We start from the raw sequence: 18,812 nt of genomic DNA on the forward strand, positions 1-18,812 counted from the left end.
CGCCTTGGCCTCCCAAATTGCTGCCATCACAGGGGTGAGCCACTGAGCCCAGCCAGACTCTGGATTTTTACTGAAAAAAAAAGCTTGCCAATCTTTAGGCTGGGTGACATCTGAGATCCCTTTAAATTCCAAAGTTCTAGGAATTCCACTTCCAGAGGTAAGCAGGAATCCACCATCAAAGACAATACAGGGAACACCCATTAGCCTCATAATATAATGATTCCAAAAGAACTGTTTCTTTTGTGTTGTCAACATGTCAACCTGTAAAATAATACTCACTGACTCAGAACATTCACGTAAGTTTCCCAGATATTACTTTGAAAAATAGGCTCTTGGTTCTAGAAAGCAACATTCATAATTTTTAGAAATTTTATTCTATTAACAGGGTTGACTAGACCATCTGAAAAATTACCAAGTACAATGAAAATGAAAAAAGAAACCCAACTCCGCTAGGAATTCACATCATAAAATATTTATTAATAAGTAAAATGATTTTCCCCTGCCTTTGGTTATTAAAAAATGAGTATCATTGATGATACCAATTGCCAACACTGGTTTTACATTATTCAGTCATGAAACAGAATAGAAAGATGATCGATAGATATCTATAGACATAAATGTGTAGAAGACCATACCATACAGCGATTTGTTTAATTACAAAATACTGGTTGTGCTAGCAGTTGGAAATGTACTTGCACATCCTTAAAGTTATCTTTTTTTATATAAGTAAAGAACACACAAATAAATTCACTTGAATTTGATAATTTGGAACATTGGCAATGAATACAGTGCCTGTTGAGGCCTGAAAGAGAGAGGAAATCAAGAACAGTGTGGGAGAAGAAAGGCAATCCTTCGTTGAAAAGCTTTTCTCTTAACAATCCTTAGTGCCTGAAAAATAAGCCATTTTGATAACAAGAGTATAAAAAGCCTTATGATCTGCAAAGTAAATCGTATCTGGTTTAAATTTCATCCCAAGTCTCAGGTTATGGCTGAGGAGCTATACTAAGTATCTTTGTAACACATTTCTTTGAATTTTTATAACTAAGACAAGAAAATTTTTTTATCAGATCTAGGCAGAAATACTGATCTTCATTTACAAGTATAGTAATTACTTGCACTCAGGACTATATAGACATGGGGCTCTGAAAACCAAACAGAAGGAAACGCCAAACCATAACCACAAGGCAAAATTAAAAGTAACTCAGAGAAGCAGCGGGTGATAGTTTATGATTTCAATATAAAAAAGAATGCATTACCTCTCAGATGTCACCTTAAAGCCAGAAAATTAAGATACAATCAAGAAGGGGATGAATGGTTTTATGACTATACCACCTACTACTTCAAGATTAAAATCATCCCAGAGTTCTGAAATGTCTTCATTAGTTAAGTAACTATACAATTTATTTCAGTCTCTTTTTAATGTAGAAAATCACTTTGTAATAAGATCTCTACATAAGGTAAAAAAGCACAAAATAGGCCCCCAAAAGCACAAAAATAGACAAAATATATATATCTTTTTACAATGAAATTAAGGTGTGCCTGTGGAATACTGAGACTGATGACTGATCTCACAGAGTTCAAACAGGTTTCCTTTTAGAATAGTCCTGTTATTTGCGTCTTCCCCTTAACCTTGGATGCATTAGAAAAAAAAAAAGGCTCAGGCTGGGGGCGGTGGCTCACGCCTGTAATCCCAGCACTTTGGGAGGCTGAGACAGGCAGATTGCTTGAGGTCAGGAGAGTGAGACCAGCCCAGCCAACATGGTGAAACCCCATCTCTACAAAAAATACAAAAAATTAGCCATGGGGGCAGGCACCTGTAATCCCAGCCACGTGGGAGGCTGAGGCAGGAGTGTTGCCTGAATCCAGGAGGCTGAAGTTGCAGTGAGCCGAGATCGCACCACTGCACTCCAGCCTGGGCAACAGAGCAAGACCCTGTCTGATTAAAAAAAAAAAAAAAAAAAAAAAAAGTCCCAGGTAAAAGGGAGATAACAGGCATTTTGATCCTGTGCAGTCAACAACAAAAAAGAAATAATAATAACAACATAATAAAAATCCTTAATTTATCAGTTTATAAAATTCTTTCGTCAACCATATCTCAAGGGCACTTCGGACTCAAGCATTTGTTATACACCCATCAGCAACATCACAGTCATCTCCAGCTGAGGCCGGTTTTCCATCATAAATCAATGATACCCTGGATGAAACATATCCAGAAATGCTAATTCGGAGATGTTTTCATACAGTCTGGGGGCAAATGAAGCCATCCAAAGGAATCGTGCCATAAATACCACCGACATGTGCGGACTTCCACCTCGAGAATCCACCCCTGCCTTCGTCTCCCTTCAGTAAAGGAACCCACCAGTGACTCTCGGTTATACAGTCACCGCTGGGTACATCTTCTGTTCACTGTTGGTGTGAGGGAAGGGGGACTGAATCTGCCTGTAGCCAGGCTGCAGGCCGTCCATGAAAGGTGGCACAGCTGTCATGGGCACAGAGTCGTGCTGCACCGTGTACCCCACGTATGGGGGATGCAGATACTGCCCTTGATGTGGCACAATCTGGGTGGCCTGCTGACAGTTCAGCACAGAGAAATTCGTGGGCATGTTGACATACACGTTGTTCATGGTCCCTTCCGGCAAGCAACAGTTGGTCTGTGACCTTGTTGGGGGCGCCCGGGCCCCTGAGTTGGCGCTGGAGCTGGAACTGGCAGCTGTGCTGGACTGGCGTGAGGACGACCCCCGGGAGGTGCTGGCACTGGGGATCATGGGGATGGTCTCCATCAAGCGGTTACCCCCTGGGGCTCGGCTCTGCTGGGGATCCTGCTTAGGCCGGAGACATCTGCAGCAACAGGCTGCCACCAGGGACCCCAAGATGATAAAGGCGACAAACACGGAGCCAACAATGAGGAACGGCACGTAGATGGGCACTGAAGCAAAGGACAGAAACACAACATTATGATCTACTCTAGGAACACAGTACCAATCGCCAACTGGCAATGGCAATGAATGAATGAGCAACACTGATACCCACAGCTGAAGGACCTACACTGGGCTAATTTGTTCACATATTAGGAGTCCATAAGATGCACCATTCTTTATCAAGTGCTTAGAAAGGTCCTAAGACCCTACAGGCATGGCAGGTCAGCCCCTAGAAGCAAACTGTTAATATTTAGTTCAACTTGTCAACTGCAAGACTGACTGAGCCAGATATCCGATTTAGCAAAAGTATGGGTTTAACAGGTTAAGACAGTTATGGTTCTAAACTTCCTACCATAATCAAACTGTCCAAACTTAAGTCTGCCCGACCATATTGTTGTAGGATCTTCATAGTAATAATGACTTCAACTTATTTAAAAGTCTTTTTTCCCCCAGAAAGTTATTTAAGTTCCTTGCAAATTTCTTTTTACCATTTTTTAGCAAGTTCTTTTTTCATAAGCAGTTAAGTCAAAAATTTAGGCCAGACTCTAAGTCACTACCATTTCCAAAAGGCAGATGTACAAGAGGTAAGGCACAGAAGGGTCAAGGAGGGGTTTAAAAAAGACCCTCTTCACTCTTCCTTAGCAAAAGCCAGGGTCCTTGGGTGGCATTGGGTCCAGGTGATGGGGTCTGTGTGGAGGTGGAGGGAAGTTATTCCAGGCATTGGGCCATCCTGAAACAATGTCCAAGAGCAAACATCAGGAGCAACAAGACGTGTTCCAGAAAGAAGAGTCACCCACAGCAAGCCAAGAAGGCAAGAGTACACAGGGAAAGCCCTCAGAGCATAAAGCAACGGCCATCACACTTCACCCGGGAAGCTGATTTTAAAATAGAAAACCATAAAAAGTAAAAATAAAAACCTTTTGATAAAACCACTAGCAAACTCCATTTTAAAATTAGTTTCTGGCGGGGCACGGTGGCTCACGCCTGTAATCCAAGCACTTTGGGAGGCCAAGGTGGGTGGATCACCTGAGCTCAGGACTTCAAGACCAGCCTGGCCAACATGGTGAGACCCTGTCTCTACTAAAACCACAAAATTTAGCTGAGTGTGGTGACGCGCACCTATAATCCCAGCTACTCTGGAGGCTGAGGCAGGAGAATCGCTTGAACCCAGGAGGCAGAAGTTGCAGTAAGCCGAGATTGTGCCACTGTACTCCAGCCTGGGCAACAGATTGAGATTCCATCTCAAATAAATAAATAAATACATAAAATTAGTTTCTTAAAAAAATCTTTTAGGAGCCATAGAGAGGGCACTACAAGGCTTTAGAAAATAGACGCAGGTTGACAGGGACAGAATCAGATGGGAGGTGCCTGCAGAATGCCTCTGAGCCACTTTTGTGGAATTCTACCCTATGTTACCAAGAGCCTGCATTTTCTGATGTGTTCTTGCCCCAACCTCCTGGCTATATTTTTGGGAAATACATAAGCACAGGGGTGGATTGGGTCTTACTGGTCTTGGCAAAGCATAATGCCAGCCCAGAGTCGGATGGGGCAGCATTTTAGGAAGGAGACCACGCCTTTGAGGTCAGCTCTATGAATACCCTTTCATCATCCATTAGAGCAGCCGGGCTTTCTAATTATGCTCCTTTTCACTGTTCTGGTATTGCTGGAGTCAGTGTTTTTAAAGTATAATACCAGGTGGAATTATGGAGAAATAATGCCCTGTAAGTAAAACAATACTTTATAGGTATTTAACCAAAGGCTGACTGTGGAATATTTCCTGGAGTTTCAATGCTGAACAGAGCAATTTCTATATATAGCGCCCCTTTAGCAGGTAGAAACATTTGCTACAGTGTCTGCAGCACAGCTGGCGCCCAGCAGTAGAACTGTCCTAATTACACTATCACTTCAGGCTAACTACGGATCACTGGAGAAGTGGATGCAGGCTTTTTCCTTGGCGTGTTATAAATATTTCATTCTCTAAATTAAGACACCAGCCCTAAATATGTTATCAAAAAATAAATTAATAGTAGTAAAGCAGGAAAAAAAATGTACCCCAATCATAGCAGAAACTAGCTGAAACCAGCCTCAGTCCACATAATGAGTTTTGGGGAGAAATAAGTGTTCTCTTTCCAGGATTTTTAATTGGAAATGTAAATAACTACACAGGGATAAGGAATGTAACGCTACTATAAGCCCCCCGGCAGGCTTAATTAGGCATGTTGCCCTTCACTGCAGAAGAAAAGTGAAAGAAATACAATTTTTAGGAAAAAAACGTTTAAAAGTAGCATGAAGAAGGCATCCATGCACAACACAGGGCGTCATGAGAAGTCTCGTCCTGAGAAGTCCCGACTAATCCAAAGCCATCCCAACTTTTTGGAGACCATTAATGAGCCCAATCTAGCAGACATCTCACTGTAGCAGTTCGGGGTCTGGCTCCCTTCTCTGGGCTTTCTTCCATGGCCACACAGTCTGCGAGACTGAGCTTGCGTTTTAAGACTGCGCTGGTTCTGGAATTACGCTCTCTTCAGATTCAAGACAGCAGAACAATAGGAGTAGCATGCTAATAAAATGCTTGACTGCGAAAGGGAACGGCACTGAAAAGAGCTGTCTCTCACGAGGTCCTGGGAGGCAGCTCTATAAACACAAACTACGCTGTGCCAAAGCTCAAGCAGCCCGAACCCAGGCTCAGGATGCTAGCGAAAAGCCTCCCAGGTAAACACAACGGGCCCACAAAGAGGAGGAGCCGCCCCCTCGGGGACACGTTTGCCATTTTACCTCTACACCTCCCCTCCCCCGAAATAAATAACACACACACACACACACACACACACACACACACACACGGAGTGACTGGTGTAGACACCCCAGGGAGGCATTCCGGAAGGTTTCTGAAGAGTGAAGTGCAACCTACCAAATTCTTTCACGGGTTTACTTTCCAACTCTGGCTTTGGCAATTTGAAAGAAAAAAAAAATCAAAGCCACAAAGAGCAAGGCTGGGCACTGCTCCGATGTTACACCTACTAAGTCTGACGTGGTAAGGAAAACAGTCCAGAAGCCCCACAGGCGGGCCGCTGCAGGGGAGAGGGGCCGCCGCGTGGAGAAGATGGGAATCCGCGGCGTCTGGCACGGGGCAGCAGCCCCGGGAAAGCCCTGAGGAGCTGCCTTCCTTTCGGGGAGCCTTCAGGGGAGCACCGCTGCCAGGCCCTCACGGGTGGGGGCGCACCCTCGCCGTCTCCTTGGGTACCCCTAAGACATGAAGCCCTATGGAGACAGGAGACGCCAGAGGGGCCCGGAGGACCCTGGTCAGAAGGAATATGGGGGCTGTCTGTGGCCCACACTGCCTTAGGAGTGTGATTTTGTTCGGAAAATTAACTCTAAGCCACCCTTTGGCTGACAGATGGAGAAACTGAGGCCCGTGAGGGTGAATTAGGGACCCACACCGACCAAATAATAAGCCAGAAGGCAGACTCCGCCTCCTGGTCCTAGGCCCTTTCCTGAATTTCCCCCCTTCAAACTCCCAGGTCCCTGACGTCCAGGCAACGCCAACCGTCCTCCCTTTCGCGCTGGGCGCAGGCCGCCCTACCTGCCGAGCCGTCGGGGCCGTCTTTGTCCGCCCGGCCAGGCTCGCCAGCGCCCTGCTGGCGGTCATTGTCGCAGCCGCCCTGGTCCAGGCGCGCCTCGGCGCTGGAGCAGCAGTAGCGCAACGCGCAGCTGCCGCAGCAGATGGTGGCGTCGCCGCCGTCGAAGCGCTCGGGACACTGGAAGCCGATGCGCCAGACGCCCTGCGCGTCCAGCCAGCCGTGGCAGTACTCGCCGCTGGCCCTCGCCCCCGCCGCCAGCAGCGCAGCCAGCAGCAGCTGCAGGAGCGAAGCGGCGTTCCAGGATGAGGAGACGGACGAGCGGCGAGCGCCCCACATGGCACCACCCTGGGCGCGGACAGCGCGTCTCCAGAGAGCGCAGGACGGTCTCCGAGAAGTCGTGGCCCCGGCGACCCCCGGGCCTCGTCACTGACTGTCCCGCGGCGCTTTCCGCGCGGGCCACTCCCCTCTGCCGCGACGCCCAGGAGGCGACGACGCCGGGCCCTAGGTCCAGGAGCTCCTAAGCCATCCCCGTCCTCAGCCGGTGGCCCGGTCCCCTTAGGGACTGCCTTATGAGTTGCACTCGCTGATGGAAATCTCGGGATGCAGTCAGAAGGCCCCCGGGGCTGTCGTCCGGAAGCCTCTGGAGGTTTCACTGGCAACCGGACCCTCCCTGAGCATCCCCGAAGGGATGCTCACTCGAGCCGAATGACCGCTGGGCGCGCCGCCGCGGACCTGGAGCCAGGGCTCTGCGCAGGGTTTAAGCCTCAGGGTCCCGCGCGCGAATCAGGGCCCGTCTCCCCTCCTTTATTCCCTCCTCGGGCGGGTAGAAGGGGCGAAGGCGGGCAGTGCACGCAAGGCTCTGGGCAGCAAGTGACGCAGCCGGCCGCGCTCAGCCTCCTCTGCCCCGAACTTGGTCCGCATGGCTCCGGCCGGGCCGCCCGGGCAGCCCACGGGGGTGCAGCCCCGACGCTCCACTCGGCGGGGCCGACGGCCAATCTTCCCAGCACGTCGCCGAGGGAGCGCTCCTGACCCCGGGAACGTCCAGGACGCAGGCGAGGGTCCTGCGCGCCCCCAGCCGCAGTCCCGGGAGCCTGCCCAGCTGGCGGCGGCCGCGGCTGCTGCTGGGCGCGGATCCAGGCGGGCGGCTCGCCCCGGTTCCCCTTCTCCGCCTCCCCGGCTGCAGCGCGGTCCCACAGGAGCCCGGCAGCCTCCGGCCGGCTCTCCCTCTCCCGGTCGCTGCCTCGCCCTCGGGAGGTGTGCGCACCGATGGAAGCCTCCCACGGAAGTTTCTTTCCTCCGGGCTACGGGAGAAGCCGAGCGCAGCAGCCGCCCACAGCCTCGCCTCGCCCCGCCCGGCGCCAGACCAGCTCCGACTCCGCTCGCTGCCGCGCTGAGCCGCGCTCTTATAGAGGCCGGCGGCTCCCCGGCGCGCATGCGCGCTGCGCGGCTCCCCCCCACCCCCGACCTCAGGGACGCCCGCGGGCGCCGGGCAGCCCCTCACTTTCCTACCCCGGGCAAGGAGAAAGGTGTGGCCAAGGGCGGGGTCTGCCTGCTGGAATAGGCGCGGGAGGAAACCCAACCTAAGCAATCCAGGCCTCGCTAACACAAATAACAATAATAACGGAAGAAACTCAACTTGCTTTGTGAAGATCTTTGGCATTCAACATTCGGTTCGATTCTGCAAACTTCTCAAGGGATTATGATTACTTTCCACTCTGCAGATCATAAAATCGCCACTCAGATGAACTCTCTCGGCTTCCAGCAGCTGATGTCCTGGCCACGGTTGGTCCCAGGCCCTGTGCAGGAAGAGCACCGATGTTTGTGGCAGGGTTCACACGCCTAGGGCTGTGTTTGGTGGACTGGAGGCCTCCACCACAAGGTGGAACGGAGAGAGTTCAGCAAAGATGTCACACATTCGGCCACGGTGTGGATGATCTGTGTCCCTTTTTCTTTCTATATTTGGGTGTGGTGATTTATCGGATTCCAGCAGGAAAGTGCCTCCGTCCAACATGTGGCCTTAGTGGTTTAGACAGCTGCAGTCAGGAAGAAAACAAGGTTCAGACAGACCAGAAATTCAGCTTTGATGAAGGAGAAATTAATAGCTTCTCTCTTGCAGAAGCTGGAACAACAGGTGCTGATGTTATTAAAGCAGCAGTGCTTATTTTTAAAGGAACGAATGCCCCTTCCCACACCGTCTGGGAGTCAGCAGACCTGAATTCTAGACCCAGCCCTACTAGCAGGGAATCACTGCGTTTTTCTGGTCTCAGTTTCTTCATCTATAAAGTGGAGCATAGGATGTGACGATCACTAAGGTCCCTTTCAAGTCCATGACTTCAGAACACAGGCAGTTTTATTCACAGCAAAGACACTCAGGTTCAAGCAGCCATTGGATGCTTGTGTATGCCTGGTTAATGTGAAGATTCAGACATTGTTGATTATTCTTCCACTTGCCCCAACAATGTCAAATCCAAGAAAAAAAACCCTACCCTATGTCCCTGCTCCCCAACACACACCTTATTCTTTTCACTAAACCTCTCTCCAAGCATTGCACTTTGTTTTCTTGCAGTTTTTTGGTTGTGTATCGTTTTAAGCTACACAAAATTATATACTTTAAATGCACTATTCACCAAATGTCTTAAGCTAGTAAGCTAAAAAAAATTTCAATGTCAAGAAATCATTCATTCAAGAAATACACGCCATGCACTTACAGTGTACTGTGCTCTGTGCTGGGTACTGGGACTCATCAAGAAGCCAGACAGCATGGCCATTTCCTTCAAATAGGGCCTAAAGTCTCCAGGGTAAAATACAGAAATCAGACAAAAAGACAAAGAACTGAATAAGCAAAGAGAATGCAAGTATGATCAAAGCTCTTACCCACAATGAGAACAGCATCAATTTAAGCACATAATCTAGGTTAGGGTGGGGAAGGAGGTCAGAAAAATCATCAAAGGAGTAACACTTAAAAAGAGACCAGAAGAAGCCAAGGGAAGATTGAGTTTTTCAGAATGAGTCATTTTCTTAGAAGACACCATTAGCCAACATTTATTGAGAGCTTACTATGGGCTAGGCACCACGCTAAGAATTTCATGTGCATGGTTTCATTTAATCCTCACATCAGCCCTATAAATAAGACAGTATTACTATCCTCATTTTACTGGTGAGGATACTTGCTCAATCCCTAAAGATAGAGAGCGTCGGTTTGCCTGGACTGCACCCAATTCTTCCTGACTCCAAACCCCACTCACCGCACTGCTGATCACCACAGCCGCCACTACAGAAAGCCCAGGATTGATTAACTGGGAGTCCTGTACAGATCATGAGATGCTCCTATGGCAGCACGAGTTGATTTGGGTAGTGTTCAGAGGGTGAATACTTTCAATTTTGCCATTTGGAAAAACAATTAATGCGAGAGAATTGTACTTATTGTTCTATTTAGAATTGTATTATTTCAGACAGTACCTATGCCTATAACCTCCTTCCAGGATCCACTTATCCTACTCACCAAAACATCCACAATTTGTCAGAGTTTATTTATGAAGAAAAAAAATTGTTTAACATTTCATATTGGAATTGATTTGGTGACTGGATAGTGCCACCTTTAAAACACAATGTTTTTGCCAAATAGTCTACAATTTAATCTATAATTGGTGAACTTAGAAGTATGGCGCTCTGAGCAAATTCGTCTTTTTTTTTTTTTTTAATTACTGTGTTTCTTTTCTTCCTTAAAAGTTAAGGAGAGGCCCTTTCATAGTTACTTTACGTAGTGGTTGACTGTCTTCAATGCTGAAAGGTCCTTTATGTCACTTTGTCTCTCTTGTATTATCGTTTCTTTGTGTATCTGGAATGTTGAACTGAAATTTTATAAAATAACTTGCCAAGTATTTAGTGAGGTTCTGCATGGGAGGTGCCACTGGGAGATATTAAAATAGGCTTGTTCCTTCCATAGGAAATAAAAAGAAATTCCCTCATTGGTCTTAACAGACAACCAAAACTATTTCACTCGTTTCTTCTGAGAAGCTATAACTAGTAATTACAACATATAGGTAGTAGTAATCATAATTTATGATAATCAAAATGAAATGTTAGGCAGTCTGCCAAAATATATTGAAAAACATATGAAAGAGTGCAGCCCTCTTTTTAAAAAAGTTGAATTCTATAGTCACTAACTGAAAAAGTATATTTTCAAGTTATTTTGCCTTTCAGTATGTGCCTGTGCATATATATATAAATATATATATGAATAAAATCCAATTGATTTAAAAGCAAACTTCTGACATATCTTCACTAGTACAAATAGCAAGTCATATAACTAAAGAAATGATTACTTACAACTTTACTAACTGGAGTTGATACAAATCAGATGGAGGTAATAATATTTCATTTGGCTGGCAGTTCTAAAAGCTGCAAGATCTACAGTGTTTTTCTGCAAGTTTCAGCAAGAGCAGAAGGTTCTTACCATCTGCACATCCATCAGCAGTCTGTTTAGGGAGAATGGCTTTCACTGGGTTCATTCATTTTTTTTTCTCCTCTTCTCTCATAAATAGAAATAGTACTGAAAATTGGCATTTGGTTTACCAAAAGTTCTTTTAAGTTAGAGTGTTTTTGTGAAAACCCAAACAAATATATTAATTTACATTTATTTTAATTTTGTCTTCTGTTTACCTAAACTTATGTTCAAAAATGTTCATAAATTTATGAAAAAAAATTGTTCTTGCTTTAAAAGTTTTAATTTTTCACCCTCCTTATTTTTATTGTAATTGACATACTGACTTCCAGAAAAGTAATTTCCATATTTTCAATTATATTTCTTCTCATTTGTCATTATAAACTATTGACATAGTTCTCTCTCATCCCCCCTCCTTACTCCATTGTTTTACTGAACCCCCTTTAATTTTGATTTTGATGTTTACTATGGATATATTTCCATTTTGGAGATATGGAGTTTCACGGAGGGCTTATTTCACTAATGCCTTCCTATCTAAAAGAATGGCATAAACAAAAGCAAAATGTGCGAAGACTTGCAAATCATATATACGAAAAGAGTCTAATATCCAGAATATAAGAGAACTCTTACAACCCAGAACAAAAAGACAACCCAACCAAAAAACTGGCTTGAATAAACATTTCTCCAAATAAGATCTACAAAAGGCCAACAAGCACATGAAAACACCTTCAACATCATTAGACGTTAGAGAAATGCAAATCAAAAGCACAAGATACCACTTGACTTTCACTAGGTTGACAATAATAGTAATGATAATGATAATGGGAAATAATGTTGGTAAGGTTGTGGGGAAATCAGATCCCTTGAATGCTGTCATTGATGGGAATGTAGAATGGTTCAGCCACTGTGCAAAACAGCTTGACAGTTCCTCAAAAAGTCAGACATAGAATAACCATATGACCCTGCAGGTCCACTCCTAGGTAACCCCAAAGAGATGAAAACATATGTAGATACAAAAACTTCTATATAAATGTTCATAGCAGCACACTTACAATAGCCAAAGAGTGGAAACAACTAAAATATCTGCTAACTAATGAATGGATATGCAACATGTGTTATATTCATACAATTGGAATATTATTTGGACATAAAATAAATGAAGTATGAATACATGCTACAACACAGACGAACTTTGAAAACATTGGGCAAGTGAAAGAAACCAGACGCAAAAGGCACATATTGTATGAGCTCATTTATATAAAATGTCCAGAACAGGCAAATCCATAGAGACAGAAAGTAGATCAGAGCTGGGCCTGGTGGCTCACACCTGTCATCCTAACACTTTGTAGGAGTTGAGGCAGGTGGATCGCTTCAGCCCAGGAATTTAAGACTGGTCTGGGTAACATAGTGAGACCCTGTCTCTACAAATTTTTTCTTTCAAAGTAGATCAGAGCCTGTCAGGGGCTGGGAGGAAGGAAGAAGGGGAAGTGACTGCTTAATGGGTACAGGGTTTCCTTTTGGGGTGAAAATGTTCTGGAACCAGACAGTGGTGATGGTTGCACACATTACAAATATAATAAATGTCACTAATGGTATTTTCATGTTGTGTGTATTTCACCATAATAAAAAAGAATCTAGAACAAATAAATAAATAAAAGTCTGCAGCTGTGAAAGTAGTTATCTGCCCATGATGTCACCTGAAGGTTCTGAAGCAGGTGCACCAATTTTGAGAGGATCTATTCTTTTAACAGTGAATGGCCCAGAAAGAGAATCATTTAGGAAGTCTGAAACACAGCCAGATACCTCTGAGCATAATTCCAAGTCCCTAAGCTAAATGTTGCAAACCTTGTTACGGACTGAACTGTATCTCCCCAAAATTCACATGTTAAAGCCCCTAATCCCCAAAGTGACTTTACTAGGAAATAGTGCCTCTAAAGAGGTAATTAAGGTTAAATCAGTGGGGTCCTAATCCAAAAGGACTGGTGTCTTTATGAGAAGAAGAGACACCAGCCATGTGCTGGCACAGAGCAAAGGAGGTGGCCTCACACAGTGAGAAGGCAGCTGTCTGAAAGCCAAGGAGAGAGGTCTCAGGAGAAACCCAAACTTGCAGGCAACTTGATCTTAAACTTCCAGCCTCCAGAACTGTGAGAAATAAATGTCGTCTGTTTAAGCGCCAGTCTGTGGCATTTATTATGGCAGCCCAAGTTGACCAATAGACCCTCCCTCCCCTTTCTCCTCTCCACTAACATCAGGAATGCCATGAGATGCAAGCATGAGGTCTTCCTTCACCATGGTCCTCAAATATAAGGCAGCTTGGGCCTTAGCTCTATCTATGGATCATACAGGGAAGACTTGAAGTGACAGGAGCTATGTATGCCCTAGAAACAGTTTGAGAAAACTAGATCTCAGTCTAGAATAAGAGACAGTAAATTTGTGCTGATGTGAAATGGTTGGAGAATGGAGTGAGGCCAACTGGCTGCTAAGATTTGAATATTGTACATATCCAGGTTCAATTTCCTCCAGAACATTTTATTCTGGTCCCTATGGAATTATGATTTCTTTTATTCCCTTGACTTTTCTTCTAGACGATCAACTCCTTGAAGGCGGAAACTAAACCTTGCTCATTGTTTTTTGCTGCTGTTGTTTGTTTGTTTGTTTTGAGACAAGATCTCACTGTCACACAGGCTGGAGTGCAGTGGTGCAATCACGGTTCACTGCAGTCTCGACCTTCTGGGCTCAAAAGATCCTCCTGCCTCAGCCTCAGCTGGGTCTACGTGTGCTACCATGCCTGGCTAATTTTTTATTTTTGTGGGGATGGGGGTCTTGCTATGTTGCCCAGGCTGCTCTTGAACTCCTAGGCTCAAGCAATCCTCCCATCTTGACCTCCCAAAGTGGTGGAATCACAGATGTGAGTCACTACACCCGGCCCTTGCTTGTCTCTGAGTCCTCTGAGTGCTGGACATACAGTAGGCTCAGTTTATCCATTCAATAAATATTTATTAAGTGTGTACTATATGCCAGGCACAAAAATCCTCAGTATTGACTTATTAGTTTCAAGGAATTTGAAATCAATGAAATTACCTAAATGTGAAAAACATTCTGAGTACTGTACAGCAGCTCAGATATAGGCTATCTGATAAGACTAGGGGAAAAAAAAATAACCGATGCTTGGTTGCACCCAGTGGCTCACGCCTGTAATCCCAGCATTTTGGGAGGCCAAGGCGGGGGGGGATCACTTGAGCTCAGGAACCAGCCTGGCCAATATGGTGAAACCCTGTCTCTACTAAAGATACAAAAACTAGCCAGGTGTGGTGGTGCACACCTGTAATCCTAGCTACTAGGGAGGCTGAGGGATGAGAATCACCTGAACCCAGGAGGTGGCTGTTGCAGTGAGCTGAAATTGTGCCACTGCACTCCAGCCTGGACGACAGAGCTAGATTCCATCTCAAAAATAAATAAATAAAAATAACTGATGCTTGGGAATAAATCCTTGGAGAGTGGTTTCAGAGGGAAGGTGATTACTAGTACATAGCCTCCCATGGTCCTGCCCCCACAGATTTGAGGCTTAAAATAAGAGTTTTGCAATGAAAGAAGATGCAAAAAAGGAACAAGTTGTTTCCTCTCCATTACCATGTGAAAGAAAAATGTAAGCTATCCACAGATGGATGGTAGGACGTGGCAGCTACGTGCTGTCATTAGCGGTCTTCACTTTGGTTGTAGCTGCTTCATGTTCAGTATTGGTGGACAGTGGCAGTACCAGTGCCTTCAGCAGACACTAGCTGTATCTCCCAGACTTCTGCTCTCAGAATAGAAGGCATGGCTGAGAGCTAGAGGAGGGACGAGGAAACTGTGCCCACTTCCTGCTTACCAGGAATATGAGTTCGAGAAGCACCTGGAGACACTTTCAGGGATTCCCACAGTGGAGAAACATTTCTGAGTGGGATGGAGCAAGAGGAGGTAGAGAAATGTTTTGTACGAAATTATATTGTTTTACATTCAGGCTGAGAAACTAGATTGCTTGAATATAATTTCATATTTTTAATTAAAATAATTCAGAAGGCATTTTTGGATTATAGTTTCCTTGAGATTTCTCATTATTAAAATCATTGTTTTTATATGATCAGGTCATAGGGAAAAAAGTCCCATTGATCCTGGGTGTTTAGATTTGGTATAAATAGGAACTCCCTTTATCAAAGCTGCCTTAGCAGCCTCCTGGTAAAAACATAAAAAGATAAAAGAATCATTGTGCTGCTTATTTTAACAGAAGCAGAATTACTGCCTTCACAGCGCAGCCTCACAGTGCTCATAATTATCCCTGTCCAAATACGTTAACTTTTTCAAACCAAGCCCTCCCTCGTTCTATGGTTTCAACCTCATTTTTGTACCTTTTGGATTAGTAAGAGATTTTCTTTGGCTTTTGGAAGAAGTCAACCTCTCAGGAAACAATTGAATTAAACTTCATGTTTGTTTAAAGAGTCCTTGAGTAGTACCCCACCTCTGCCTTTCCTCAAAATGTCTCCGATGAAAGAATAAACAGAGAATGTTCTGCATTGTGTGGTATCCAAAAGGGCAGGACAATGTTTAACAAGTTCCATATTCTGAAAATGTTCCATATTCTGAAATGTCCCAGTAACACCTTAAGACTCGTTGAGTATTTCAGACCATTTCGCAGCTTTACAGCATTCAGTACACTTCTGGCTTCATATTGTTGATTCTTATATAACAGTTATCGGGAGAGTCTCCAACTAACTACCTTCATTACCGAATTAGAAGGAAGGGTTTTTTTGTTTGTTTGTTTTTTAATGTTTTTACATTAGAAAATGTACTTGAACAGGTGAAGTTCAATCAGCTAATAGCCACTATTTATTGAGCATCTGGTATGTACCAGGCATTGTGCTAAATTTTTTGACATCATTATAGTGTCTCGTCTAATAAATACATTATTAAGTAAGGTAAAAAAAAAAAAAAAAAAAGGTTTCGCTTCATCTGCTTTTCTAAAATTTCCTAAAAAGAAATTTCCAGCCTATGCACAATGTTATCCAAGTATTTTAACACAAAGCCTTTTCCAGTTTTTGTTTTCAATGAACTGTTTTCTAATGTTACACAAATAAGATGCAATGTCTTATCAGAAAAAAATCCACAAAGCACTGGCATTCTTAATTTCTATTACTAATTTCCTTTTTGGTGCACAGCGGTTTGGTTTTATTAGGTGTACATATTTTTAGTTACTTTATTCCTGGAAGTGGAACAATTTATTTTGGAGACATGAGGCCCAGAAGAAAATATTAGAAAAATGCAAAGCAGAAAGTATAGAAAAGTTTAAGATGATTATTATTATGCACAAAGAAAGTAAAGGGGGAAGTTGCTCCAGAACTATCTTCAACAACTTGAAGGAATATTTTAGGAGGGCCCTGGGTACAGAGAAGACAGACGAGAGGAAGCGGAGTTGAATTACAGAAAAGTGATATTTAAAGAACACTCTCCAACCAGCATAGATGCAGAAGCAGTCATGCAGATGACTCGAGAGGTCAGGAGATCTCCCAAACCCTCTGTTTCTTAAAGACTCGTGAAATCACCTTTAGCTTTAGAAGGAGAGGGGGAGACTTAGGATATTACTATGCCAGTGGAGAGGGCCAGCACTGGTTAAAATCCTGGAGACTTCTTACTAGGATTTCTTTCTACCTTACTATACAGTGAAACATTTTTAGGCTTGTCATAAAGAAAACAGCAAACATGGTTGATATTTCTTCTTTTGACATGGGTCAAGCTTCCTGACTTCCTCAAACCAATAAAAAGATGATGATGATGATGATGATGATTTGAGACAGGGTCTGGCTCTGTCACCCAGGCTGGAGTGCAGTGGTGAGGTCTCGGCTCACTGCAACCTCTGCCTCCCAGATTCAAGCAATTCTGCCTCAGCCCTCTGAGTAGCTGGGATTACAGGCATGTGCCACCACACCTGGCTAATTTTTGTATTTTTAGTAGAGACGGGGTTTCACCGTGTTGGCCAGGTTAGTCTCAAGCTCCTGACCTCAGGTGATCCACTTGCCTCCGCCTCCCAAAGTGCTGGGATTACAGGCGTTAAGCCACCACATCCAGCCTAAAAAGATTTTTAAACAAGACAAAATTGTTACTGCTATTAAATGTATCTGGTAACTGATTCCAATAGTATTTCAATTAATGCTTTGGAACAATAAGCATTTTTAGTGCTTTTGAGAGTGTGAAGAAAGGGAGAGTGAAGAGTGACTTGCCGCAGGGCTGCTGCCTGGAGACCCAGTGATCTGTGGGAGTAACACAGTTCCGACTTCTGCACTCTGGAAAGCAGGAGTCAGTTTCAGATGTAGGCAATTTACATTTATAGACCAGGTCAAGCAAATTGGACAGTTTAAGTGAGCACTGAATGAATGGGAACATAAATATGTTGGGGCCTATAAATGGTCATATTTATGGAGTGCAGTAAAATCCGTATCTCTCCCCACTTGGAGAAATCTCGCCAACTGGATTGAAAGCAGTGGTCACGATACTGAGTGCTGAAACCACAGGAGAGGCAAACTCTGCTCTTGATATTGAACTTCCAACGTCTGTTGTACTATTTCAGATGCACTTGAATATTCACTATCCCATGGTAGAGAATGGGTAATAGGTGCTAAGAAATGTCAAAAACAACAAAACACAAATAAACAAAGAAACAAAACGCCCCAAACCAAAAAGCAAACCACTTCCTTTTGAACTCATTCATAAATCTCCAAAATCTATACCAGACTGCCAAACTCAGCCTAATTTTTGAGAAAATATACTCCATATGTCATTTGATAGGAAGAGAAAGATTAAGCCAACTCCAAGTAATAAAAAATGGGTAACCAGTCCCACGGCACAGCACTCACTGCTGTTTTATTCATTACGGTGGGTCCTGTTTGGTAGTCTTAGAAGCGAAACTGAAGATTGGAGCTTGGTTTACTTTACAATCCAAGTGTTGGAATACATTTAGCCTTCCAATTACAGGAAGCACAGTCCTCCAGTTGTTGAACTCTAGTGTGAGCTAGCATTGTGGTGTCTGAGTCATGAGTAGGGAGCAAGCTCACTAAGCCAGAAGTCTTTCTAAAAGATGACTAGAGAAATCCAAGAGCAGATCGTCTCCGCCTGTTTGTGTGTCATGGTAAGAAAACACTACCTCCCTACGGAAATATTCTGACATTGTTGCTTTGTCTCCAACTCACTGGAGATTCCAAGATTCCAAGAATAAAGAAAAGTTGGGATTCTGATCATTGATGTGTATCAAATTTTCACACTCCCTTAATTAATTTCGCCATGAGCTATTGATCTCAGCAAACTTCAACACTGATTGTTTTCCCACCACTAAGAAGTAGGTTAAGGGCAGTTTAAGTGCTCTAGTTTTTACTGAGTGATAAAATCATGCTATGCCTAATTGACTAAAATGAATTAGAAACTCTGTTTTTTGTTTTTTTTTTTACTTTTTATATGCAAGTAATTTCAAAATAGAGAAAAAAGTTGCGAAAATTAAGAATAGTACGAAAGAACCACTGATTGTTAAGATTCTGGGTGATCCATTTTATGTCCACATGGTGACTCGCAAAATTGAATTAACCCTGCTCCTTCTGATTTGGGGCTATCTGTCATATAGACTTGTAGACAAAAGCACCATCATTACTAGTTTTACATTGTTTGGTATGACAGAACCCAAACCATTCTCTTGCACTGGTCATTGATTTTTCCCTGTTTTCAACAAATTATTAAATCTAAATCCTATGCTTAGTGAAATACTATTTGGGCAGCCCACTGCTAGCAGCTTGGCTGACTTCACACATATTATGAGGCTGAACTTTGGGCCTAAGTGCTAAACTGAATACA

At 44.0% G+C, this 18,812-nt stretch overlaps 1 protein-coding gene and 1 long non-coding RNA gene across 2 annotated transcripts; both read right to left on the bottom strand.

Annotated features, from left to right (window-relative positions):
• Window positions 1-456: 456 nt before the first annotated feature.
• Window positions 457-7,876, bottom strand: SHISA2 (shisa family member 2). Its single transcript, NM_001007538.2, has 2 exons — window positions 6,502-7,876; window positions 457-2,926 (listed from the first exon to the last, which is right to left on the bottom strand). Exons 1-2 carry the CDS (start codon window positions 6,833-6,835, stop codon window positions 2,373-2,375), a joined length of 888 nt encoding a protein of 295 aa, NP_001007539.1. The 5' UTR covers window positions 6,836-7,876; the 3' UTR covers window positions 457-2,372.
• A 259-nt stretch (window positions 7,877-8,135) lies between these two features.
• Window positions 8,136-15,382, bottom strand: LINC00415 (long intergenic non-protein coding RNA 415). Its single transcript, NR_146971.1, has 2 exons — window positions 15,329-15,382; window positions 8,136-8,532 (listed from the first exon to the last, which is right to left on the bottom strand). It is a non-coding gene; the product is annotated as a long intergenic non-protein coding RNA 415 (long non-coding RNA).
• Window positions 15,383-18,812: the final 3,430 nt, after the last annotated feature.

This window comes from Homo sapiens, chromosome 13, assembly GCF_000001405.40.
Source record: "Homo sapiens chromosome 13, GRCh38.p14 Primary Assembly".
Classification (NCBI taxonomy): domain Eukaryota; kingdom Metazoa; phylum Chordata; class Mammalia; order Primates; family Hominidae; genus Homo; species Homo sapiens.